We start from the raw sequence: 26,155 nt of genomic DNA on the forward strand, positions 1-26,155 counted from the left end.
CCTTCTGAGTAGCTGGGACTGCAGGCTGGAGCCACCGTGCCTGGCTTGCTTCTTTTGAAATACAATTTCCTTCCCTAAAATTTTATTCTGGATGTGATCAACTACAGTGCTCTGTGACCTTCAGTCTCACTAAAAATATAGTGACAACATTTTATAAAACTTCTAAAAAGTAATATGTAAATTATGTAAGTGTAAGTTTCCCTGAAAAATGAACTGACAAAAGGCAGATTAATAGGAGAAAAGACTTGCAAAATTTGTTTTGATATGCACAGCACAGGGAAATTGCAGAAGAATGATTATCCAGTAACCCATTGGGGTATGGATACTTTTTTACCCTTCTTCATAGGGGAGGGGAGATGGGGAAAGCTGGCAATTTGGGGCATAGTAAATGATTTTTAGGGGAAAATGAATGGACTTGAAGAACATACAGTGGCCTGGGACAAAGTCTGTGTGGCCTGCAGAGTAGACAGTGGTTTGTGAGGAAATCTGTCCAGATGTGTTGACAGCCTTAGTCCTTCTTTCTGCAGTGTAAGTTGAGTTAATAAAAATTCAGAGAAGGGACCATAGGTGATTGTTTTCTTCTTCCAGCAGGTCCAGACTTTAGGCAGATAAAGGAACTTCAGAGAACAATTGCATCCTGTGCTTTGAGAGACAGGAGGGAGGTGGGGGAGGGAAGGTCAGAGAGACCTTGCATCTCTGCTTCAGCCCAGCATTTCAAAATGCTGTATTTTGGGATATCAGCTTCTGAGCCCCAATGTTGGCAAATTTGTTACTATTTATGATCAGAGATCACACCATTTTGAGATTGCTATTCCTTGGAGAAAATAAAATCTGCAAATCAAGCCTATTGTGCCGCAACTGAAACACAAAAATTTAACTCACCAAAAAGATAACACTGGCAGGAATATGTAAAAGTTATCTGATAGGGTTAAGGAAAAGTTTATTTTCTGTAGCCCTCATACAGGGTCATTTTTGCCAAGAAGTAATTCTCAGTTTGCAATTCTGAGCCCAGCACTTTTTCTCTCTTACTCACTTTAAAAATCCCTGTACCTTGGGATCTAGATCTAGAAATACCATTTGACCCAGCCATCCCATTACTGGGTATATACCCAAAGGATTGTAAGTCATGCTGCTATAAAGACACATGGACACCTATGTTTATAGCGGCACTATTCACAATAGCAAAGACTTAGAACCAACCTAAATGTCCAACAATGATAGACTGGATTATGAAAATGTGGCACATATACACCATGGAATACTATGCAGACATAAAAAATGATGAGTTCATGTCCTTTGTAGGGACATGGATGAAACTGGAAACCATCATTCTCAGCAAACTATCGCAAGGACAAAAAACCAAACACCGCATGTTCTCACTCATAGGTGGGAATTGAACAATGAGAACACATGGACCCAGGAAGGGGAACATCACACACTGGGGACTGTTGTGGGGTGGGGGGAGGGGGGAGGGATAGCATTAGGAGATATACCTAATGCTAAATGACGAGTTAATGGGTGCAGCACACCAGCATGGCACGTGTACACATATGTAACAAACCTGCACGTTGTGCACATGTACCCTAAAACTTAAAGTATAATAATAATAAAATTAGACAAACAAAAAAAATCCCTGTACCTTAATTTCAGTGTTCCCAATAGCCTGGAGTGGAGTTGTCTCCTAAATCCTGTGTGACTGAAAATGAAGCTAGAAAGCAATTATTTTTAATTTGGCCAAATTTTTTACATTTATTATGTGCTTTAACTGTCGTTGGATAAGATAAGCTATGCATCTTTAAAGTGCCATTTGTGTCCACAAGTTACTTGTCATTCAGCAGGTTCCTCCACCTGCCAGACCTCACAGAGAACAAGGTGATGGTAGGGCTAGCATGTTGGTGCCAGAGACTGGACACAGGTTCCTCAGGCCAGTGCCCTTCTAGCTGGAATGATTTTGGCAGGAACGCACATAGAAAAAGGAATTGAGGTCTTGAGTTCTAAAATAGTTACAGTGTTTCTATAACACATAGTCTTTAATATTTAATTCCATACAGCGTTTGAATTCTTTAGTTGAGTTCTTTTGAGCAAAAGAACTGATGAATATTTTATAAACTAAAGTCTGCTATCTGGGAAGAGCACTGTTAGAAATCCTCAGCATAAACCAGCTCATCTTTTAGTCCGAGAAAGTTCTGAGTTAGAGTAGATCATAAGCTCTGTGCATAGTGCTTGTGGCCAGCTGATTGATCACCCAGTACCAAGGGGGAAACCCTGGACTGGTGTAACAACAACCATTATAAAAATACTGTCAGCCAGGTGTGGTGGCTCATGTCTGTAATCGCAGAACTTTGGGAGGCCAAGGTGGGAGGATTGCTTGAGCTCAAGAGTTTGAGACCAGCCTGGGCAACAAAGCAAGACCCCATCTCATTTTTATTAAAAAAAAAAAAATACTGTAAAGATAAGTGTGTCATATGAATTTCTTTCATCTGGGTTTAAGTTTCAGCTTGTCATTTGACATGTAGTATCATTAAGTTGTATGCTCAGCATTGTGCCGAATGCTATGAGAAATAAAAGTAAAAAATTTAGAAGTGCAGTTGCTATTCTCACCAGGCTTTTGCTCTTGTTGAGAAGACTCGGCAGAGGTGACTTAACTATGGAATAGCACAAGGTAAGAGGTAAGATGGTGTCTCTTTTGTGCTAAAGAATTCAGGGGTAAGAAAGATCCCTATGAGTAAGGTAGTCAGGGAAGCTTCTAGAGGGTGATGAGATGAGCTAGTCTAAGTAAGCCTGACACTTATATTGATAAGATCGGCAAAGAAGAAAGGTTATCTGGGATTTGTCCTGGCAGGACAATCAAGCATTACTGAGCACTGGCATGCATGCCATGGTGGTAGTGAGGGGATGTCGGAGGAGTGCAGATGCAGGTAATAAGTAGGTGCATTCTATGGAAGAATTTAAAAACAATAACGAGACCACTAAAAGTCAGTCTGCCTTCTGTTGTCACCATTCCTAAGGATGGCAAAGATAAAATACACCTTACCATGGAGGGAACCTGCTCCCACTGCAGCATCCACCAGCACCATGGAGTGTCAGCCAGTTTCCAGTACTGCACAGTACTAACCTTTTAGAAGATATCCAAAAACATTAAGCCATGGTCCTTGCTCCAGGTTTGCATCCTGGTTTGGGAAGTGGGACTAAAGGGAATCTAAGCTTGGAGATCATAAGCTGGTGGCCTGCAGGCCTACCTTGGGCTGCAGATAGGTTCTCTTTGTCCTGTCAGTGGGTAGGCAACCTTTTGAATTAGTCACCACATTTTAAAAATTGGGAGCTGTTAAATAAAAACAAAACTTGCAATTATAAACTTCCAGCTTCTCTTAAAAACTGAGAAGATCTAGGTTCACTGGGACACACACTCCTCAGGGGGAGCTTTTGATGGAGGCACTGGCCCCAGCTCTCCACAGCCCCACCCCACCAGCAGCCAGCATGGTCTCCGTTACCTTCCCTGTAGTCAGCTGAGTGCTCCCCAGGTGAGCGATGAAGGACTGTTTCTTCCTCCCTTGCCTCACCCACTTACCTGCTCTTCCTCTGCCACCTACAGCACAAAGTCAGTCTCCTGACTGGTCTCTGGGCCTCAGGTCTCTCTCCTCACCAACTCCATCCTTGCAAGGCTGCCAGGCTAACCCTCTGAAAAACACTGCTTTCGAGAAACCAGCAATGGCTCAGAAATCCACAAGCTTATTGCTGTATTCTTTCCAGAGTTTCATATTGAATTTAATTTTCCATTGCTATCCTACTATGACCAACAGCAACCCCTACCCAGCCAAACTTGTCTCCCTTGCTGGTCCCCACACCACTCTTACCCTGTCATTTCCCATCACCTTTGCCTGTGTCTCTCCTTAGTTTCAAATGTCATCTCCCCTTCTCTCTAAAACCTGCCTGGCTCACGTTCCTCCTCCTTAGTGAAGCCCCTGAGACTCCAGTGATCTCTCTGTGTCTTTACCGCTTCATAATTCCTGATTGTCTGATGGCCTGCCCTATACCTCTCACCGTTGATTACAGGCTCTCTTTTACTACTCTGAAATTGGCTCACCATTGGTGGGACCTCTTAAGGGCAGCTGTTATTCTGGAAATTGAGTGATGACAAGATAAAGGCTTCCAGGAAGAATTAGGATCCAGATTTTGCCTAGGCAATAAGAGGTATTCATAGGTACTATAAGTCAGATAGGCCTGAAGTCTGGAAGCTTTGGGGCAGCAGAACCCAGGAGTGAAGGACCCAACTCGGGGTCTGACCTACAAGAACTGAGAATCCAGGCTTAGAGTTTAGACAGAAGCCTGGGAATTGGCAAGGAGCTGGAGCACCAACAGTGTGGATAAGGGTCAGGAATAGCACTTGAATCTTGTGTGCCTGTTATTATTCCTTCCCAGCATAAAGGTACACTTCAGAGTAGGGCTAAGCCTGAGTCTGCAGTTGTCACTCACCCTCCAATAGATGGACCACATCTCCTTCATCCTTATCACATCAGGCACATAGCCATCAACTAGGTCCAGTAACTTCACCAACTGTAGTGCTATTTACAAATTAGTACCTTGCAAATTAACATATTGCTTTATAAGTTGCTTTGTAACTAATCTTCATTTTCTTTTTGGGGTGTGTGTTGAATATTCCCAACTACAAATGTGAACAGCTCCTTTAAAGTAGAAACACTGTTTTGTCTTCTCCTATAGCTTTTTAGAATCATGCATCCCTCAAAATAGTCATTTTTTAAAAGATGGTAACTAATCTATTTGAAGGCTACTGTGATACAACGACAGACCTAACCTAAAACAGTGACCAAATTTTTAGACTCTTATCACTTACTCAGTAGACTGGATATAGATAATAAAAGATAAATCCCTCTTTCCATGCCTTCCTATTCTGATTAAGAATAAAGAAAATTTGACTGCAATAGGATCTGAATGGAAAACTAATAGTCATTTTTCTACATTCAGAAATAGAGGATGTAACCTATACTTCAGCCAGAAGTTTTCAATTTCTTAGCAGTGACAATTTAAGTAAATTTCATACGAGTTGTGGGGATCTAACTTTGTTATGATTGACAATATAAAATTAGCCTTTTCTGCTGTTAAGATTATCTAGCATACCTGTCATTCAGGTGGAATGTGGAACGAGATTGCCCAGCTGTGGATTTGAACATCATTAAAGTCAACAAAGGGTTAAAAGTTACTTCCTCTGATGGATTTAAAATTGCCGCATACACGCAAACAAGTTTTTCAAACTGCCCCATTTTATGTCTTTGTTGAGAGACAGTATAGTTGCTGCATTTTAATGTCCAGATTATATTACAGATATATTTCAGTAAACCATGAAGAACCATCATAGATTCTAGAAGCTGGTGATCTGTGCTTAAATAAGCATCTCCTGCAGCATCTTTTTTATTTTATAGGCTCTGTAATCACAATGGCATTCTGAAAGAAGACCTTGAAGCTCACAGAGCAGCTGTCCTTCACCAGCTCCCAGGACTCCTACCTGGGGGTGGCAGCTATGAAAAGCAAGTCAGGGCTTACTGGCTTGACATTGCTGTCGTGGTGGGATGGCCATTCTTGTTTCCGAATGCTCCAAAATCAAAAAGATCACAAAGTTGCAATCCTCTTATTAATTTTTTATTTTATTTTATTTTATTTTGAGACAGAGTCTTGCTCTGTTGCCCAGGCTGGAGTGCAGTGGCGTGATCTCAGCTCACTGCAAGCTCCGCCTCCTGGGTTCAGGCCATTCTTCTGCCTCAGCCTCTCGAGTAGCTGGGGCTACAGGCGCCTGCCACCATGCCCAGCTAATTTTTTGTATTTTTAGTAGAGACGGGGTTTCACTGTGTTAGCCAGGATGGTCTCGATCTCCTGACCTCGTGATCCGCCTGCCTCGGCCTCCCAAAGTGCTGGAATTACAGGCATGAGCCAGCGTGCCAGGCCGCAATCCTCTTATTAAAATACATCTGCACTGTTTACTAGCAGAGAATAGATTATTACTCAGGAGTGGTCAGTAGATGCATGTCTGTGAAAGCCCCTCTGAAGGGACCTTGTTTGGCTGGCTGAGTGAGTGAGTGAGTGGCTTTGGGTCTGCTTAGCCTACAACATAGTGCTGTTCTCCTCACCTGTCATGTGCCACTTAGGCTGTTTTATGTTAAAGATATAAATAGGGAGGATATTTACAGGATTCTGCTTAAATCTAGTACACATTGATTCTATCAAAGGGTGGATGGAAATCAGGATAATAGTCTTTAAAGGGACCCTGTCACAAGAAAACTTCACCGGATTAAGTGGCTTTGTTTTACATTACCTTCTGCGTCTGTACTAGTAATCTTGAAGCTATGGGAAATGCTGGAAATGACCTTCCTGGTCAGTAGCTTTTCAACCTAAGGCAGTAAAGGGCAATGCCAGAAAACCCTCTTTCAGTTTTTATCCTGCAGAATAAAAACCACGGTCTTAAAATAATCCTTTACAACGTAGTGGAAGAAGCTGGTTTGGGAGGAGTCCTTCTGCGCTCTCTAGGTCATTTGGTGATTGTGTGTTAGAAGGCTCTTTAATCTCCCGTTTCTTTCTCACTGCCTTTTATATCTGTTTGTATACTATTTGGCATAAACCACAGTTGTGGTGTATAGCATGGGAAGGATATATGCATTTATAATTCTCTGCGCAAACTGAGTTGTTAAACTAAATGATTCATTTTGTGACTCTCTTAATCTAGGCTGCCCAACTGTGATTATGGGTGATAAGCCATGATGTCTGCACCTACTAGACTAACGATTGTTAGAGTTTCTCAGCATTCATAATAGAGCATTGATTTCCATTATGAAAGGTTGTGTTTTACATGACTATTGATCTACAGTTATGTGTAAATCAGTCTTCCATAAGAAATGATCCTTCTTTATGACCACCACAAATTTTAAAATTAATATCTGGAGTCTTCAAAACTGTTTCTTTACCACAGTCATTTTTTAGAGCCAGATAAAGAAGTCAAGAATGTTCTCTGCTGTCAGCATTATGTTCTGCTACAGCTAGAATTGCTGTATACATTGTGACTGGGTATGCTGTTTAACACACACTGATTATCACTGGTTCACTCTCTAGCCTTGAAAAAAGTGCCAAGTGTTTGTGACCTTTGAGAGACAGCAGTCAGGTCTTTAAACACAGATTCTTCCTAATGGATTTTAGTCACCAGGCTGCCCCGCTGCCCTCCTTGCTCTAGCTTCCTCTTGTGCCCCTTAGCACCCAGAAGTCCCTGCTGGGAACTCCAAATCTAAGTGAAATAGACCTATCTGCTTTGTGATCATCACCTGGCCAGTTTGATCAACCATTGCAGAAACACTGGTTTGGAGAGAATGATTTATTCTTGTTCTTTAATGGTTAATAACTCTGGTGTCATAGAATTATTTTTTTCTTTTTTTAAGACAGAATCTTGCTCTGTCGCCCAGGCTGGAGTGCTGTGGAGTGATCTTGGCTCACTGCAACCTCTGCCTCCTGAGCTCAAGAGATTCTTGTGCCTCAGCCTCCTGAGTAGCTGGGACTACAGGTGTGCACTTCCACAACCTGCTAATTTTTTGTATTTTTGGCAGAAGATGGGGTTTTACCGTGTTGGCCAGGCTAGTCTTGAACTCCTGGCCTCAAGTGATCTGCCCACCTCTGCCTCCCAAAGTGCTGGGATTACAGGCATGAGCCATCACACTGGCCTAGTGTCATAGAATTCTAATCCAGGCAGGAAAGGCTTTGACTGGTTACAAAATCCTTAAAGGATTGTTTGGTGTAGCAGCAGCTCACATCTGTCTCTTTAATCTTGATCTGTAAAATGAGACACCTGCCCCCATAGCATACTCTAGAGCAGCAGTCCCTAACCTTTTTGGCACCAGGGACCAGTTTTGTTTAAGACAGTTTTTCCATGGAGCGGGTTTAGGGAGGTGTGGGCAGGGGCATGGTTTCAGGATGATTCAAGTACATTACATTTATTGTGCACTTTATTTCTATTATTATTACATTTTAATGTATAATAAAATAATTATACAATTCACCATAATGGAAAATTAGTGGGAGCCTTGAGCTTGTTTTCCTGCAACTAGATGGTCCCGTTTGGGAGTGATGGGAGACAATGACAGATCATCAGGCGTTAGATTCTCATAAGGAACATGCAACCTAGCTCCCTTGCATGCACAGTTCACAATAGGGTTCATGCTCCTATAAGAATCTAATGCTCCCCCTGATCTGACAGGAGGCGGAGCTCAGGTGGAGCTAATGCTCCGCCCTCCTGCCACTCACCTCCTGCTTTGTGGCCCAGTTCCTAGCAGACCACGTATCAGTACCAGTCCTTGGCCCAGGCATTGGGACCCCTGCTCTAGAAGATAATGTGAAGATTTCTGAATTCCTGCTCACAAAATAAAGCATCTTAAGAGAAAAAAAGAACAAACCACGCTTGTCATCATTATTGATTTATGTTATATCAAGGATTAAGACCTTCATATGGGCCAGGTGGCTAACGCCTGTAATACCAGCACTTTGGGAGGCTGAGGCAGGTGGATTGCTTGAGCTCAGGAGTTCGAGACCAGCCTGGGCAACATGGCGAAACCCCATCTCTACAAAAAAATACAAAAAAATTAGCAAAGTGTGGTGGCGCACACCTATAGTGTCAGTTAGGAGGCTGAGGCAGGAGGACTGCTTGAGTTCAGGATGTTAAGGCTGCAGTGAGCTGTGATTGTGCCACTGCACTCCAGCCTGGGTGACACAGCAAGATGCTGTCTCAAAAAAAAATAACAAAAAGTCATATGCAAAGTTTACTATTATCATGTGGAAGACCAAGCTATTGTTTTTGACAACTATGAATTATAAAAATATGATTCATGTGATTTAGAGAAATTGATTTAAAAATTGCTCATTATTGTCTTCTGGAAAACATTTTAATATAAAAATGATTAATAAGTATTTTATGAGAAACATAATGAGACTATCCATTTATTTTTTTCCAGGTGCAACTAATTCTCTATATTAGTGGCTACTTTCAGATACGTTTCCCAATTGTGTTCTTATGCTCATACTGAAAAATTGAGTCGGCTTTGTATTGTTTGGATTATAGTATATGAAAATCTCTATTTTAGTCTGCCTGTGTTCAGAATTAAATTCAGGGTATTTATTACTCTGCATTTAAAGTTAGGAAATACGGATACATTTGTTTAAATTTCACCTTTCTGATTGAAAGCCCTTTCAAGTACATGAAATTAATTATAGACAATTCAAACTATATTCCTTTATTACATTTTTAATTAAAGAATTACCTGACATTAAACTTTGTTTTTTTATGTGTCATCAATGTTATAAATTTTCCAACGTAAATTAGACAAAACAGAAAAATCTCCTTTAAATCCTTTGTACCACTTTGCACATTTTCTGATGTGGTATGTTTTTGTAGAGCCATGGGCGAAGCTCCATTTAGGGAAGCCATGGCTGTTGCACTTCTTGCCTGATCTATCCCAAAAGAAATCTGCAAGTCAGCTTCCTTTTGTGCTTTAAGGGTTGCCTTAGTTGTTCAGAAGTCACAAACCCTAGGTGCTGTACCTCCTTCAACAGCTCATTTTCCGTTTGACTTGGGCAAGTCAATTAATCAATTTTATCCTTTTGTGGGAAATAAATATAATAATTATAGGAAACCTTAGCTAGTTTTTCATGCTAGGACCCAAAGGATAGATGCAATTGGGTGGTGTATTAGTAACAAGAGTCTTGCCTTCATTTTGCTTCTGCAGAAAATCTTGTGTATTAGCCACCAGAGGGACTGTTCTTTGATAATTTCACTCACTTAGCTATTTAACTAATTTAATTCATCCAAATTAAACTTGCTTTCAAGCCAAAAGCATAGTTGACTTACTTATTATAAGAAATGTACCTGCTGAATGGGCTAGAATTTGCTGATGACTGGTCAGTGCATTTTCCCAGCAGGGCAGTCTGTTAAGAAACCAAATATAGATGCAAAGGTCAAAACAAAGGAATTGGGTAGTTTAATGACATCATTGCGGTACGGTGGCAACCAAGAAAGGCAAGTTGCTGAAAGGTCTTTCTATCAAACTAGTCAGAGGCCTTAGAATCAAAGGATTCCAATGACTCATCTCACTTTATTCAAGTCCTGGAAAAAAATAGGGTTAGGTCAGGCACAAGTAATAACAATTAAGATTTATTGAGGAAGGTTCTGAACTGTACCTAGACTTACTTTCTTTTCCAGAGATTTTATTATGAAATTTTTCAAACATACAGAAAAGTAAAAGGAATCATAGGGTGGACATCCATATACACACCGCCCAGATTGTACTCCTGACATTTTATTGCCCTCTCATATTTGTTTATCCATCCTTCCATCAATCCTTTATTTTTATACTTTTCTAAGTAAGTTGCAGACACTAATATACATTTAACTTTTTACTTTGACATTTTTAAACATTCGAAGTCTCATATACCCACTACTCAGATCCACCAACTGCTCACATTTCATCAGTCTTGTTTTATCTCTCTCCCTAACGCTTTTTTTCTTGAGTAGTTTAAAACAGACAACATATCATTTCACTCACAAATACTTATACATCTAACATATAAGGATTTAAAATACTATCATTTAACATAATCAACAAAATTCTTCAGTTTATCTAATACCTAGTCCTTGTCAGTTTGCCTTGCTTATCTGAAAAATTGTTTTTCTGCGTTTGTTTTGTTTGAATCAGAGTTCAAATAAGGTCCACATATTACAATTGGCTATGTCTCTGAAACCTCTTTTAATTTTGTGACATTCCCTCCCTCCTTTTTTTATGCTATTGATTTGTTGGAGGAATTGGGTCACTTACCCTGGAGAATTTACATGCTCTATTTGGTTGGTATGTTTAACCAGTTCCTCTTTACTCTTTATTACCTGTAAACTGGTGGTTAGATCCAAATATGTGATTAAGTTCCAGGCCAGTTATTTTAGCAAGAAAATGTCATGGGTGGTGCTGATATTTAAAACCGGGCAGCACATAATGTTTTGTTACCCCATGGTTAGTGATACTAAGACCGATCTGTGGGTTCAAATGTCGAAAGGTTGATGACTTCAGGACAGAAGTTTACTATTATGTAATTTTCACAAAATTATGACCATTTCCTAGATACATCATTAATTTGGACTTACAAAATGGTGACTTTTCTAATTTGATCATTTCTTCTGCATTTATTGGAAGAACTTTTCCTTGTCAGCTACTTGGTGACTCTGAAATGTATTTTTTGACCACAAAAGCAGGATAAATGCTTTATTCTATTTCTTTATTTACCAATTTGCAGAATAATGAATTGTTGCCCTACCAGCCTCCAAAGGTTTTAAAATTTATTTCTATTTTGTCTTTACTGTGGTTTAAAAAAAAACATAAAATTAGCCATCTTAACCATTTTGAACTGTGCAGTTCAGTAGTGTTAAATATCTTTACTTTGTTGTACAACAGATCTCTGGAACATTTTCATCTTACAAAATGGAAAATCTATACCCATTAAACAACTCTCCATTTTCCCTTCCCCCCAGGCCCCAGCACCCACCATTCAACTTCTATCTTTATGAATTTGACTGTTTTAGGTACCTCATTTAAGTGGGATCATACAGTATTTGTCCTTTTCTGACTGGCTTATTTCACTTAGCAGCACAATCCCCTTAAGAGTCATCTATGTTTTTTTTTTTTTTTTTTTTTTTTTTTTGAGACGGAGTCTCTCTCTGTCGCCCAGGCTGGAGTGCAGTGGCGGGATCTCGGCTCACTGCAAGCTCCGCCTCCCAGGTTCACGCCATTCTCCTGCCTCAGCCTCCCAAGTAGCTGGGACTACAGGCGCCCGCCACTACGCCCGGCTAATTTTTTGTATTTTTAGTAGAGACGGGGTTTCACCGTTTTAGCCGGGATGGTCTCGATCTCCTGACCTCGTGATCCGCCCGCCTCGGCCTCCCAAAGTGCAAGATTCATCTATGTTGTAGTATGTGACAGGATTTCCTTCCTTTTAAGGCTGAATCCAAAGGTTTATATTTTTATTTTTTAAATTTTATTAATTTATTTATTTTTAGATGAACTCAAGGATTTTCATGTATTCCCTGTGTTTCAGTCCATTGCAGTCAGTATCCTTTAGGTGCTTAAATTGTCCCATCTTTGACAGTGGGAGCTTCCTAAGATATCCCCTCCCCACCTTCAGTTCTTTTGATACAACTTTGAGAGCTTCCTTACTTTCTGGTACAACAAGATGTTTCAGGTTCATCTTGTGCGTTTCCTGCCCCAGACCTGAATAGGGCATTTCTTTAATGAACTTTGGTTCCTTTTAGTACATAAATACCACAGCCTGAGCAGCAATATAGGCTTATTTTTTAACTCTTTCCTAATATCTTAATTTTTAAAAAACTGTAAGTAGACCATGGTAAGAGTGTAACAAAACAACAACAACAAAACATCTGCTGTTGAGATGAAAATGTGATCTTTTTCTCTTCACTACATGTGGGAGACTGACCATCTATGCAGTGATTCAAAACCATTGTTGTGCTTTAGAATCACTCTGTGAGCCTTAAAAATCCCACTGACCAGACCAGGCGTGGTGGCTCACCCCTGTAATCTCAGCACTTCAGGAGGCCGAGGCAGGTGGATTATTTAAGCCCCAGAGTTTACGACCAGCCTGGGCAACATGATGAAAGCCAGTCTCATGATCCAATGAGACTAAATAAATAAATAGATTAAAATTTTAAAGTAAAATGTTTAAAAAGTCCACTGGCCAAGCCATACCCCAGACCATTTTTCCTGGACTCTGTAGAGGTGGCCCCAGGCACCCAGATTGTGCAGAGCTCCCCAGGTTGTTCTGTGTGCAGCAAAAGTTGAGAATGCTCATTTAGCAATGAAATAACCAAAGTTTTTAAAAGTTTAAAAAAAAGGATACTTGGACTCAAAACTCCCTTAGACCAGAATATGTTGAGTTCCAGACTTCTGGATAAACCATCTTCTACTAACGTAATTGAGGCCTTTAAAAATGTGGGAATCTTATAATATTACAAATCTATAGTGAGTGTCCTGTTTCTGTTTTATAGACCTGGACAAACACCAGACTCAGACGTACCGAGGGCACAGGTGGGTCAGCATGTTGCCACCTTGAAAGAACATGATAATTCTGTCAAAGAAGAGGTAGGTAGCTAAACTGTCTGAAGTTTTCCCAATCACAAATGTGGACCACAGGGTAAGGTTAGTAATTTTTATTTAAAAAAAAAAAAAAAAAGTTTTGGCCAGGCGCCGTGGCTCACGCCTGTAATCCCAGCACTTTTGGATGCTGAGGCAGGTGGATCACGCGGTCAAGAGATCGAGACCATTCTGGCCAACATGATGAAACCCCGTCTCTATTAAAAGTACAAAAATTAGCTGGATGTGGTGGTGCGCACCTGTAGTCCCAGCTACTTGGGAGGCCGAGGCAGGAGAATTGCTTGAACCCAGGATGCAGAGGTTGCAGTGAGCCGAGATCACGCCACTGCACTCCAGCCTGGTGACACCATCTCAAAAAAAAAAAAAGTCTCAAGATGTGCAGATTATTCATTTGAGGAAATGTTATGTATTTGAAAAAAATAACGATAAGAAAAGTAGTAAGTGAGGTTTTGTGGTTGGTTGGTTTTTAACTTTCTGACCTTGGGCCTTTTGCATAATGTTTTATGTAGGAATTTATTTTCCAAGAAATTTCAAAGCATCTTATAACACTCTAGTTTTCCGTCTCCACTCCGTACTTTAGAAATACTTTATAGTCATTCATGTCAATTCAGCAAATGCCTATCGGTCCATTACTGTACACAGATATCAGCCCAGATCCGTTGGAGGGAAAGAGACAAATAAAATGTGACCCCCTCCTTCTGGGGTGTGACATCATGGGATGCATGTAATAAGAAAATGTCAAAAATGTGGGCTTTCAGGAAAGAGAGCCAAGCCAAGACTCCTGGAGAAGCAAGGAAGGCGGAGGTCATGATGGAGGGAGTACAGTGGCATGAGAGGTGATCTTTAAAAGATAGGCTTTTGATGGTACGAGTTGGGGGTGGGGGCAGAGGTGACAAGAAATGGCTGCTATGAGCCAAAGAGCACACTGGGAAACCCAACACATGTTCAGGCAACAGAGCCATCCTGAGGCTGAAGCATGGGCTCAAGTCTGGGGATGGTGAGAAGGAGCACAAGAAGTAGTTGCTGGCCATAGTGTGCAGCATCCGATGCCAGGCCAGGGAGAATGTGTTTAGTTTTGTACCTTTTGAAAAGCCACTGGAGCTTTTTGAACAGAGCTGTGATAGGATTTCTGCAGTGCCTTAGGGAATTTCATGTTTGGTTTGGGACTGAGACATTGAAGGAGGGAGCCCTGCCCTGGTTCAGGCAAGAGGAGGGAGGGGCCTGATTTGGGAGCTGGTGCCAAGAGAGAATTCGAAGATGCTAAACAGAAAATGGAAATGGATGGAGCAAGTTCCCAAGGAAATCATGAGGGGAGGAACCGGAAGCCCAACTTTAGAGCATGTCCATTGGCATATTCCTTCCTCATTCCCTAGAAAAGCCACATTCAGGGAAACAGCCTTTCTTCTCCTAGGTTGAACATCTTGGGAATGTGTCTTGTTTCAAAGCATGTTTTTTCATCTTTATATATAATACAGGATTTTCTGGCTTTGATTCTTTTTAAGGTGTTTCTAAAATTATTGTTACCATGCTCATAGTTCAAGGATTGTATATCTGCACCTTCTGGAATCAAGCCTTGCCTGTGTCTTGAAGTCACATGCCCAAGTGGCTGTGCCATCTAGAGACTCTGGCTTTGCCCCTCCAGCCTTCCAGAGCACCTTTAGTCCTCCTCAGACCCCTCTTTCCTTGCTGCTCTAATTAAGAGAGTAGCAGGACTTTTTTTTTATAACATTTCAAACATACATATATTCAGTGATAGGACGGACCCACTAATCCCATGCCCACAACCCAAATTCACATATGTTGTTACCATTGCACCATATTTGTTTCAGACCCCCTCCTCCTCATCTTCCTCCTTTCCCCCATCTTCGTACCCCCCTCCCTTCCCTCTCCTTCTTTCCTCCCCCCACTTCACCCACCTTCTCTCTCTTCTGCTCTTTCTCTCTTTTCCCTCTTCTCCTCAAACTTCCTTCCCTCCCCCCTTTCCCTTAGAGGGAAGAAATAAATTATTACAAACATAGATACAGCCCCCCGTATGCCTTTCACAGATTTCATGCCCCTTTTCAAAGATAACCTAGATCTATTCCTTCTTTGCTGATGAATGTAGATCTTTTTTGTTTGTTTTTTCGAGACGGAGTCTTGTTCTGTTGCTCAGGCTGGAGTGCAGTGGTGCAATCTCGGCTCGCTGCCACCAGGGCTCACTGCCTCCTGGGTTCAAGCAATTCTCCTGCCTCAGCCTCCCAAGTAGCTGGGACTACAGGCATGTGCCACCATGCCCGGCTGATTTTTTTGTATTTTTAGTAGAGACAGGGTTTCACCGTGTTGGCCAGGCTGATCTCAAACTCCTGACCTCGGGTGATCCGCGCCCCCATCAGCCTCCCAAAGTTCTGGGATTGCAGATATGAGCCACCACGCCCAGCCGATGAACGTAGATCTTAAGAAAGATACTGTTTGGGTTTTATTGTCCCTTTGAGTTAGCACTGTCTTGTAACAACATTATTTCCCATGCTTGTTCACTGCAAGTACATCACATTCAGGCATTTTAAGGGTGAAATAAGTGTTGATCGACTGTCCTTTGCTATCTAATATTTTTTTAAATGATATTGTTTATATTAGAAAACATGGTCCAAGTCCCAAACAACCAATCTACTCAATTTTTCCAATAATGGGAGGGGGTGCTGTCCAGCTAATATCTAATGAATCAAATTATATTCTGTTTCCCCTAATAGATCTTTGTTCCTTTTTAAATCATTCTGATCTCATTTTAGTGACAATCATAAAAAGTACCAATAGATTAATGACAAAATCTATCCTTAAAAATGGAAATAGGCTGGACGCGGTGGCTTACGCCTGTAATCCCAGCACTTTGGGAGGCCGAGGTGGGCGGATCACAAGGTCAGGAGATCGAGACCATCTTGGCTAACACGGTGAAACCCCGTCTCTACTAAAAATACAAAAAATTAGCCGGGTGTGCTGGCGGGCGCCTGTAGTCCCAGCTACTTAGGAGGCTGAGGCAGGAGAATGGCCTGAACCCAGGAGGCGGAGCTTGCGGTGACCGAGATTGCGCCACTGCACTCCAGCCTGGGGGACAGAGCGAGACTCCATCTCAAAAAAAAAAAAAATGGAATAAACAGGTAATTTCTCATCCAGTTAGGTTGTGACTGAAGAAATGCACAGCCCCAAAGAATATTACCAAAATGATGCAGGCGGGGCAAGCCTTGTGAACTGAAGGACAAAATGCTTTTGTGAGTCCTAGAACTGTTTTGGTTTGCATGTCATACTTTTCCGATTAGTGAAATCAAGTGTCTTTGAGTTGTTTCTGTGTATTGAAACCATCTACACATTTGGTAAATACTACGGGTTAAATCTTTCTCTTTAGATAAAATCTTCAAAGTAAGTGATTTTCAAAATTTAAAAAAGCTCTACTAGAAACTACTTGGTTAAGAGTCTAATGAAGCTCAGAAATATTTACTTTGATCTCTTGGGTAAATGGCTAATTAAAAAGCCGCATGTAAATGATGTTTCCCTGTGAGTCCCTGTGCTGTCAGCCCGAGTCAATCCCTTCTCTTGAGTAAATACATCATCAAAGCCGCAGAAACTCAGATTATGTTCCCTGGAGACCAGATAAGGTCTGCAGTGCCCACATAACCTATTAGGCAATTACATAATTGAGCTGCCTGCTTTTAAATTGGAAAAATTTGTAATTACTTTTTGTGGAAAAAAAATGAGTTGGGTGCTTCATTAAAATACAAGATGCCTTAATATTACTTTTCTCCCAAGTGATACCTGTTTCTGCCCTGGAGAACTTTATCACAGCAGAGCAATATGCTGGTGACACTCATAGAGTAGATCGGGGTCCTGCCCCCACCATACACACAGACCAGTTTTATTCACCAGGAAGATGCTTTCCCCAAATGCTGGACTGTTTTCTTGTTCTTATCTCCTGAATACTCATTTGCTGGGTCATATGAATATCTTCTCATTTAAAAAAAAAATTGCTACACAGGTAAAATCCCTTCATTCCCTTTAACGTAGAACTTAAGTGTTGATGCTTGCATTTCTCTTTAAACACCAAGAAATTACTTCCAGTGTCCAAGAGGAATACTCTTGAACCTTGAGGAAGAGTCAGTTAAATCTGCATATTAGGGGAAAATATCATCTGCTGTCCACATCCATTATTTTTAATTCTCTTGCTTTTCTGTGTCTGTGTTAGTAGCACTGGTTTGCATATAGAAGGGAATTTAATTTTATCAGATGCATTTACATTCATTTTCTCTCTGTATTGGTACCACTGATAGCAGAAATTGGATTTCTTTAGAGCGAGCATATGTTTTCTTTTAAAAACAAGCATTAAAAATCTTGAAATAGTAAGATAAAAAGAAAACTGGCCATTTTCCTACTATTCTACTATTTATATATAACCCTGTTAACATTATGGTGTATGTTTTTTTAAATATTTAATATATTGATATGAGAGGCCGAGGTTGGTGGATCACCTGAGGTCAGTAGTTCAAGACCAGTCTGGCCAATGTGGTAAAACCCTGTCTTTACTAAAAATAGAAAAATTAGCCAGGTGTAATGGCATGCACCTGTAATCCCAGCTACTTGGGAGGCTGAGGCACAAGAATTGCTTGAACCTGGGAGGCAGAGGTTGCAGTGAGCTTCGATCGCGCCACTGCACTCCAGCCTGGGTGACAGAGCGAGACTCCGTCTTTAATAATAATAATAATGACTAATATATTGAAAAACATAGGTTGCATTATTTGTATACATAAATACATAACCTTGTTTTTTTTTTACCCCCATTTGCTGCAAAGTGAACTCTTTCATACCATTACATGTTCTATTTACATCATTTCAAATGGCTTTACAGAGGTCCCCTGTCCACTGTCACTTCAGTCATTTACCTGTTGTTCAACATTTGTTTCTAATTTTTCCTCTAGTAAAAAAGTTTCAAAGAATATCTGTGCAATTCAGATTTTACAAATATCTGTAATATTTTCTTAGAACGAATTCCTAGATATAGAATTAGTAGGTCAAAAGGTGGGTATATCTTTCAGGCTTTTGCTATGCATGGCCAGATCTCACTCTGGAAGGGTCATCAGAGTTACCAGTAATGGATGAAAATAACATTTCTCTGAGTTCTTTATGAAACTAGATACTATCAGCTTTTTTTTTTTTAGGGGCAGCAATTTGAGAGATGAAAATGACATCCAATTTTTTTTGTTAATTTGACCTTTTTATTACAATTGAGGTCAAACTTTTCTCTACCTATTTATTAGCTATTTGTATTTCTTTTTTCATAATTTGCCAGCTCATGTTCTTTGCTCATTTTTGTATTAGGTTAGTAATATTATTTCTTATTGACTTGCAAAAACTTTTTAAATATAAATTTGGACATTTTGTTGCAATCTTTTTAGCAGTTTAATTTTTGTCTTTTAATTTTCTTAATGGTGTTTTGGATACAATGTCTTTTCTATTAATGTCTTACATCTGTCTGTTTATACATTTGAATATCACAACCGTAAGTTTTTGGATATAATTTAAGAGTCAGCTTAGATGATTCTTGGGGTTCTAGATAGAGCAAGATTAATATTTAAACTGAACATGGAGGAAAATTCTAGTAGAACTGGGCTAATAAAGGAATAGTACTGTAGGTGTAACTCATAGAACGATTTATCTGCCATAATGTCTGAAATATGGAGGTGTCAACATCAGTCATTCCACAAATAGTTTGTGCCCTGGCATTTAATTTCCAAGTCCTTTCTCCTGGCTCCTGGGGAGGCTGAAAAGTGAGGGGGTGGTTTGTTCGTACTGACTTAGCCTTCAGACTGCTGAGACCAATGGAACAATCTCTAGTTTTCTCTTCTGGCCTCCGAAAAGAGAGCCTTTATTAATAACAGGTAAGTTGAAACCCAAGCATAGTTCAATCATAAGCACTATCAGAAAGCCTGTGGTAAAATTGTTGTCTAATGGCATTTTTTTCAGAGAATTAGCTCCAATTTGCAGAACCCATTTAGTCCCAGCATGAGATGTAATAAAGCAACCTGTTAACTGTTCTCTGAGCTTCTCTCTGTGTTAGTGTCATCAGTCTCAGACTGCAAACTCCTTCAGATTGGAGGTTTCCTTAGAAATACACTTTTCTGGAACATCTGCAAACAGTACATCTTGAGAATGTGTTACAGACGTTTTCCTGACTGCAGAAGTTGTTTTTGCAAGGCACAGTGGCTCACGCCTATAATCCCGGCACTTTGGGAGGCCCAGGAACGCAGATCACGTGAGGACAGGAGTTCGAGACCAGCCTGGCCAACATGGTGAAACCCCGTCTCTACTAAAAATACAAAAATTAGCCTGGTTTGGTGACACACGCCTGTAATCCCAGCTACTTGGGAGGCTGAGGCATGAGAATCACTTGAACCTGGGAGGTGGAGGTTACAATGAGCCAAGATCCCGCCACTGCACTCCAGCTTGGGCAAGAGAGAGAGACTCTGTCTCAAAAAGAAGTTGTTTTTGACTAGAAATCTGTGACCTGTTCTTGTCTATCCTTGTCTGAGACTAACTTTTGTCTTCGTCCCTGCTTATCATCTTTGAGAAATTATCTGTGGAATTATCTTAAAAGATGTGTTCTTTTATAAACATTTCTATCAAAAAAGTAACAGAAATCCTGGAGATAAGTATTGAGTAGTGAAGATAAATGGGATAAAATACAGATAGTCCCTGACTTCCAACTTACAATGGTTCAACTTACAATTTTTTGATTTTACAGTGGTGTGAAAGTGTTAGGCATTCAGTGGAAACCATACTACAAGTAGTACAGTATCCAATAAATTACATGTGAAAATCAACATTTTATTATAAAATAGGCTTAGTGTTAAATGATTTTACTCATTTGTAAGCTAATGTAAGTGTTCTGAGCAGTTTAAGGTAGGCAAAGCTTAACTATGATGTTCAGTAGGTTAGGTGTGTTAAATACATTTCTGACTTACAATTTTTTCAATTTGTGGGTTTATTGGATGTAACTCCCTTCATAAATTGAAGGAGCGTCTGTGTACAAAGTAAATTGAACTAGCAGTGCAGTATGCCCACCACATTATTTACCTCACCGTGGAAAAGAGGGCTCAGTGCAGAACTGTTGGCAATGGCAGTATTCTTGTCAAGCCTACAAGGACTCATTAGAAAGGTGTTTGTAGTAGATTCCAGAAGCAGGTGCAGTGCAGTGGTCTGTGTAGGCAGTTGGGATGGGGGCAGTGATGGGAACCAGCCTTGGCCTGGCCTTCAAGGGCAGGACCCTACCCCTAGACTGCAGAAATGGGAATACTGAGCAAGTCATCCCAACAGAGTTATCACAGTGGAGTGAAATCTAGGGACTAGTTTCTAGAAATAGAGGAAAAGCCCCTGGTCACTAGAACTGCACCACAGAAAGGTCCTGGCTGCAAGGCTAACTTGACACCAAGTTCTTTGGCCAAGGGGACTAGAACTCCTTAAATCCCCCAATCAGCTACTCCAGCTCCTCAGGTAGGCCATGGGTCCAGGTCAGCCAGTACTAGGGAGGGAAGAAGGCAAGAACTCTGCAGGGAAGTCAGGACTAAAGGCAGTTGCCTTGAAGCGTCTGAAATGCCAAACATGCAAGACCAGACCTTCCATCCAGACCTTCTGTCCGGGCCTTCTTACCGGGCCTTCCGTCCGGGCCTTCCGACCGGACCTTCCATGCTCTGACTCTCCCTGTCGGAGTGTCTTCACCTTGTTTCATGTTAATCACAAGGAAGGTTGTTTTTTCCACCTTGTTCACTGGATAGTTACATTGTTAACACTTCACTCTTGGCTAATGATGACCTGTGAACATTTGTCCACTTCTGCTCTTTATATTAATTTTAAACTGTCATGTGCATTTTCCCACAATTGGGTTGAACACTACCCAGTATTTACTGTCATTGTCAGCTACCTGTGGGTCACCACCACCACCGAGGTTTCCTCTCCAGCTACCTAAGGAAATCGCCACCTGTCAATAGGAAATGAGAGAAACATACACTCTGGCAGCGGGATAATGTGACCAATGGTTATCTACTAAAAGTTTAACTCTTATTACCAGCATATTTGTATTTCTTAGGGGAAAGTACTGACCTGAAAATCAAAAGACTTGGCTACTAACCCCAGTCCTGTGAATTGCCCCTTTTTCTCCACCTCTAAGGTTGGCTCTGATAAAAACCTGTGTCCTCCTCCTTGCTCAGGACACATGAGGCATTTAAGTAAGACAATGCCTTTGAAAAAAGATAGGCAGTGTGGTGGGTGAGTTTCCCCAGATCCCCAGACGACTTACAGGCAAAGTGCAGACCATCTTAGTACTTGATTGAAGATTGGGATTTAGAATAAGGGCAGTTATCTTTCTTCTCAGTGCATCCTCTTCAGCCACAAATTTTTCTGCAATCTTCCTGTTTAGGGGAAATTCATGGGTCATTTTTAGGAGGGTGGGGATATGGCAAGGTCACATCTTTCCGGATCTTTTTCTCAGTTGAAAGTAATTCTGTCTGACATGCCTAGAAAATAGGATTCATGTAATCAAAGAATAAATTTTTCCTTCAGAAAGGAGGTCTGAGGCTCTACCTTTTGTATATATCGAAGGGAGGATAAACCTGCCCAGATTAACAGAGGTGGTCACGTTTCATATACATACTTAACAAGCAGAAGAATATTTCTGCATTACATAAGATTCAGCCCTCAAAAAGTGTATTATTGTGAGGGTAACTTGTAAAGAATTAGATTATAGTAGAAAATAACCAGGTGTTTTTTTTCTTGACATTTTAATTTCATTTAAATGTGGGAAACAGATTAAATCCTAAGTAAAGCTTAACTTAAAATTATATTTGAAGGCTATCTTTGAGACCAAGAGGAATGTGGCTACAGTTTGTTTTTATTTCTTTGTGCTTTTTTTGAAACACTGTAGGCAACAGCATTATTGAGAAAAGCCCTTACAGAAGAGTGTGGCCGTAGGTCAGCTATTCACAGTAGTGAATCATCTTGCAGCTTGCCATCTATTCTGAATGACAATAGTGGAATAAAGGAAGCCAAACCTGCTGTATGGCTCAACAGTGTTCCTACAAGGGAACAAGGTAACTATTGTTAAAGTGTGTGTCCACAGCAAAAAGGCATTCAGGGTCATCATCATCTTTCTCAAGGTACACCTATAGAATATCACTGACTAGTGAATACCTCTGATTTTAATATGCATAATATAGTATTTGTTTTATACCACCTTCCAATAAATATATATGTTCTCCTTTAGTCTAACAGGAATGGGAAATCTAACTGTAAGTCTGTAGTTCTAGTGAATTTATTTCTAATAAAATAAGTATGAAGAAGTTACGAAATCTTAACAAAACTAATCGCTTGGCAGTAGATAATTTTGATCCCTCAAAGATGAAGATGATTCCATAAAGTACTGTGAAGTTTTTGATATCACCTAATAGAATTTTCTCATAATTGTAAACATTACTTTTAATTATAATAGAACCTTATCAGTGTCTAAACAGTTGATTAAGAATCAATGAATTTATGCTCCCCAAATTTAATAACCCATTTTGAGCACCCAGAAACTGTGATTATTTAAGCATTACTGCTAAGACATGCCATTTAACTGCTTTAATGGTTTTCCAAGACAGCTATGAATTCCTCAGGAATTGCTCGAGTTGATGTACATGTGCAGGATGTGAGACTCACTTATTTTATGTCCCACCTAAATTTGATAGATGTCAGGCCCAGTTATTTTGCGTGAAAGCAGCATAGTGGTACCTTAATTCAATTTTATTTTTAAATTTTTGTCTATGAGATACCTTAATTTTAGAATAGGTTTCCTTTTAGGAACAGTATTGTTTCAGACAAGAAATACATTAACCAAAAAAAAAAAAAGTGAACATAAAGGGAAGGACAAACACCCAAAGGATCTATTCCTTAACTTTGAAATACTTTTTTTTTATTATGCATTCAATTTTTAGAAGTTTCAAGTGGCTGTGGAGACAAGAGCAAGAAAGAAAATGTGGCTGCAGATATCCCAATCACAGGTAAAGCTATGGTTGCCTAAGAGTTTCAGACACAAGATTTAGCATTATTATATAAGCGGAACATTTTGGGTCAGTGGTTTGTGGACCCCACTAAGAGCACATGTATTCAGCTACTGCATGCTGGAGCAGGAGATTAATCCTAAGAGCAGAACATATATACTTATGTTAACATAAACTAAGGTGGAAAATCACCGTGTCTATTGAATTCTTCATCACCATGTTATATATTTACACCTGTAACATCCTCCATCATGTGCCCTTTCAGCACCTGCGTCTCTGTAAAAAGGTCCATCTCCCTGGGGAACACCCGGTCATTACACAGCAAACTATAGATGTTTCTGATTTTACTGTTTTCTTTCCTGTAGTAATTGCATATGTATATTAAAATAAGCAGATAATAAAAAAATGTCAGATAGGAAGCTTGCGTTTGCCTCAGTTACAAAGCCTGTCTGATAATTTAAAAATTGTACCAATCGGGCTTCATCAAGACCTATTAAGATTTCTGCACATGTATTAGGCTTGTTTAGGTGGAATCTGAACGATATCATTATTTTTTTCTTTTTAGAATAAGAACAGCAGCAATTAGTATTCTGTACAGAGTTCTACTTGTCATACATCTGAATTTACTAGTACCTTATTTTGTGAAGTGGTGTACTACTTCATTATAAATTCAAAGGTCTGACTTTAAATATTTACACAAGTAAATACACCATTGCACCAAGGTACTGAGGCATGCATCTGCATATGTGGTAGTTTTGTTGTTTATAAGCAGAAAAGAATGGCTTGCTTTTATGGCAGTGCAGTTCCTGGCATGATTAATTTTTTAAACTCATGTTTCTGTGATGAACTCTGGTTTTGAAAAAGCAGTTTATGGTAGAGCAGTTATTGTATATATTATGCATTCAGATAATATTTCACTCTAAAATGCAGAGTTTTTTTATTTTAAACATTTTCACCAATGATATGTTTATTGTGTTTTTAGTCTGCATTTTCTGCAAACTCTGGTATGGCTCCCTGCTATTTTTATTAATAGAAATGTAGATGATCCCAAACTACAGATAACCATGAAGTCATTTGGATACTTTTCTCTTGCATTTACTTTTGGATGCAGAAGTATCTAATGGCCTCTGAATTTATTTCAATTAAAATTACAAAGGATTATTGAGGAGAAACCAGGAAATGACCTTGTTCATTCATTCTTCTCTTTTCAGTATTCTTTACAATCATCCCTTGCTGGGAGTAGTTGACTCTCCCCAAAGTTAATGCAAATGTATTTTCTCATATACTTTCTTTATAAGAAAACGGATAATTAAGTACCAGGGTTTCAAATCCCTTCTCATGCAGAAGTGCAATATGGCTAGAAGCAACTTGGGCTGTTTGCCATTAAGATTTTAAAAGAAATTGTAATTCCAGCAACCTGCCATTGATCCATCAATAGTTGGCAGTTAAAAAAAATGCCTTGTGCCAGAATATTAGACATTAAAAAAAGTACTTTGGAAATTTTTTAAAAACTTAGCAAAGCCATACACATTGTTAAGGTGTTACTGTTCTGTCCTTGCCAGTGTACTATCCCCACCCAGGGACCTCCCATGAAATTCATGTTTGAGAGCTTCACGCACCTTGGCACTACTAATACTGTTGCTTTGTCCATCATTGCAGCTACTTTGATCTCTAAGTTCTTGACCATCATCCCTTTATTAAATGTTTGTGACTTTGGCATAACTATTTGGAGATTTCACTTTTGGTAGAGTAAAGCAAGTATGTAGTTTAATTTAAGACAGAGTCTGTCTGCCTCTTTATAATAGTTCTGTTGGGGTGTCCTGTTTGTGTGGGTGCATGCTGGTTGTGTTTGTGTGGGCTGCATTCCTTCTAGAATATTCCAAAGAAAATATTCCAGAGGCTGTCCCCTGAAGGTTGAGGAAATGTAGCAGTTGGGCTGGGGCTTTGCAACCAGCCATCAGTGTCAGCTCTTTTACTCCTTGCTCTGTTTCTCTACCCTCTCTGAGCCTCTGTATTGGGAAAGCAGACATACTGCCCAATAGGATTGTCTTAAAGTTTAAATGAAATCATTTGTGAAAGTGCCAAGCAGATACTAGACACTCAATTTTATCTGTGAAGTATAATAATATTCATGTGAACATTATTAGTGTTCCTGGTCTTCTGTGTGGGCCCCCACAGTCCCCAGCATTTCCAAACCAGCTATGAGGAGCCTCACAAAGCAAACTCAAAGAAGAACATAAGTAGAGAGAATGAGGATGCAGCATCACAGAAAGTGCCATTGTGAGACGAGCCCCTGGAAGAGTGGACACTTTCAGTCTGTTCTGGTGGACCTGCATACCTTCCTTGAGTTGTGGTGGCCACTTGGGACCAAGACCCACACAAGCACAGTACTGCTGCAATACCTGCAAGACAGTGCTTCCCAATAGTACTGCTATGTTAGTTTCTGCAAGAAATTGCCACTTGAGAACACAATTGAGATTCAAATCCAGGATAGTTACCTTATCAAAAAGGAATCTCAAGAAGAGTTTGATGATACTTTTCCAATTTCCACTTAGTCCCATGAGGACATCCACAGAGAAAAATCCGAAACAGCTGCTGAAGTACTCCTGAAGATCTCATTGGTCAAGGCCCAGACATCTCTGTCTCGGGGTGCCTATGTGCCCTTAGTAACCCTATGTGCTCACAATGGATGATGTTGCAGGGTACCTGATTACCAGGCAGCAGACCTCCCCTGATGTGTGTGCTGCCCCACAAGTATTGATGAGCTAATGCAGCATTTTCCAAAATGTGTTATTTGCAATGCTCCACCCAGAAAATACATCAATTAATACATATTTTGTTGCCCAGCCCTGTGTGATCCTTCTCTCTCTCTGCAGTATGCATAATGCATAGAAGCATAGTGAAGACTTG

General features: G+C 40.1%; 1 protein-coding gene and 1 long non-coding RNA gene across 15 annotated transcripts in view; one reads left to right on the forward strand and one right to left on the reverse strand.

Moving 5' to 3' along the window:
• Positions 1 to 26,155, forward strand: part of KIZ (kizuna centrosomal protein) — a 120,648-nt gene that overhangs the window by 66,429 nt on the left and 28,064 nt on the right. For 10 of the 14 annotated variants that reach the window (XR_937105.4, XR_001754334.3, NM_001276389.2 and 7 more), the window contains 3 exons: positions 13,088 to 13,181; positions 22,132 to 22,297; positions 23,180 to 23,245. Coding sequence is in view for 11 of the 14 variants with exons in the window: in NM_001276389.2 (NP_001263318.1) it covers positions 13,088 to 13,181; positions 22,132 to 22,297; positions 23,180 to 23,245 (326 nt within the window). In the remaining 3 variants the exon portion in view is untranslated. The remainder of the gene's footprint in view (positions 1 to 13,087; positions 13,182 to 22,131; positions 22,298 to 23,179; positions 23,246 to 26,155) is intronic. The other 4 variants (XR_007067468.1, XM_011529297.4, NM_001352434.2 and 1 more) reach the window with 1 other exon arrangement.
• Positions 2,001 to 25,886, reverse strand: KIZ-AS1 (KIZ antisense RNA 1). Its single transcript, NR_109956.1, has 8 exons — positions 25,744 to 25,886; positions 21,508 to 21,619; positions 21,133 to 21,189; positions 9,911 to 9,969; positions 5,137 to 5,173; positions 3,569 to 3,688; positions 3,035 to 3,115; positions 2,001 to 2,552 (listed from the first exon to the last, which is right to left on the reverse strand). It is a non-coding gene; the product is annotated as a KIZ antisense RNA 1 (long non-coding RNA).

This window comes from Homo sapiens, chromosome 20, assembly GCF_000001405.40.
Source record: "Homo sapiens chromosome 20, GRCh38.p14 Primary Assembly".
Taxonomy (NCBI): domain Eukaryota; kingdom Metazoa; phylum Chordata; class Mammalia; order Primates; family Hominidae; genus Homo; species Homo sapiens.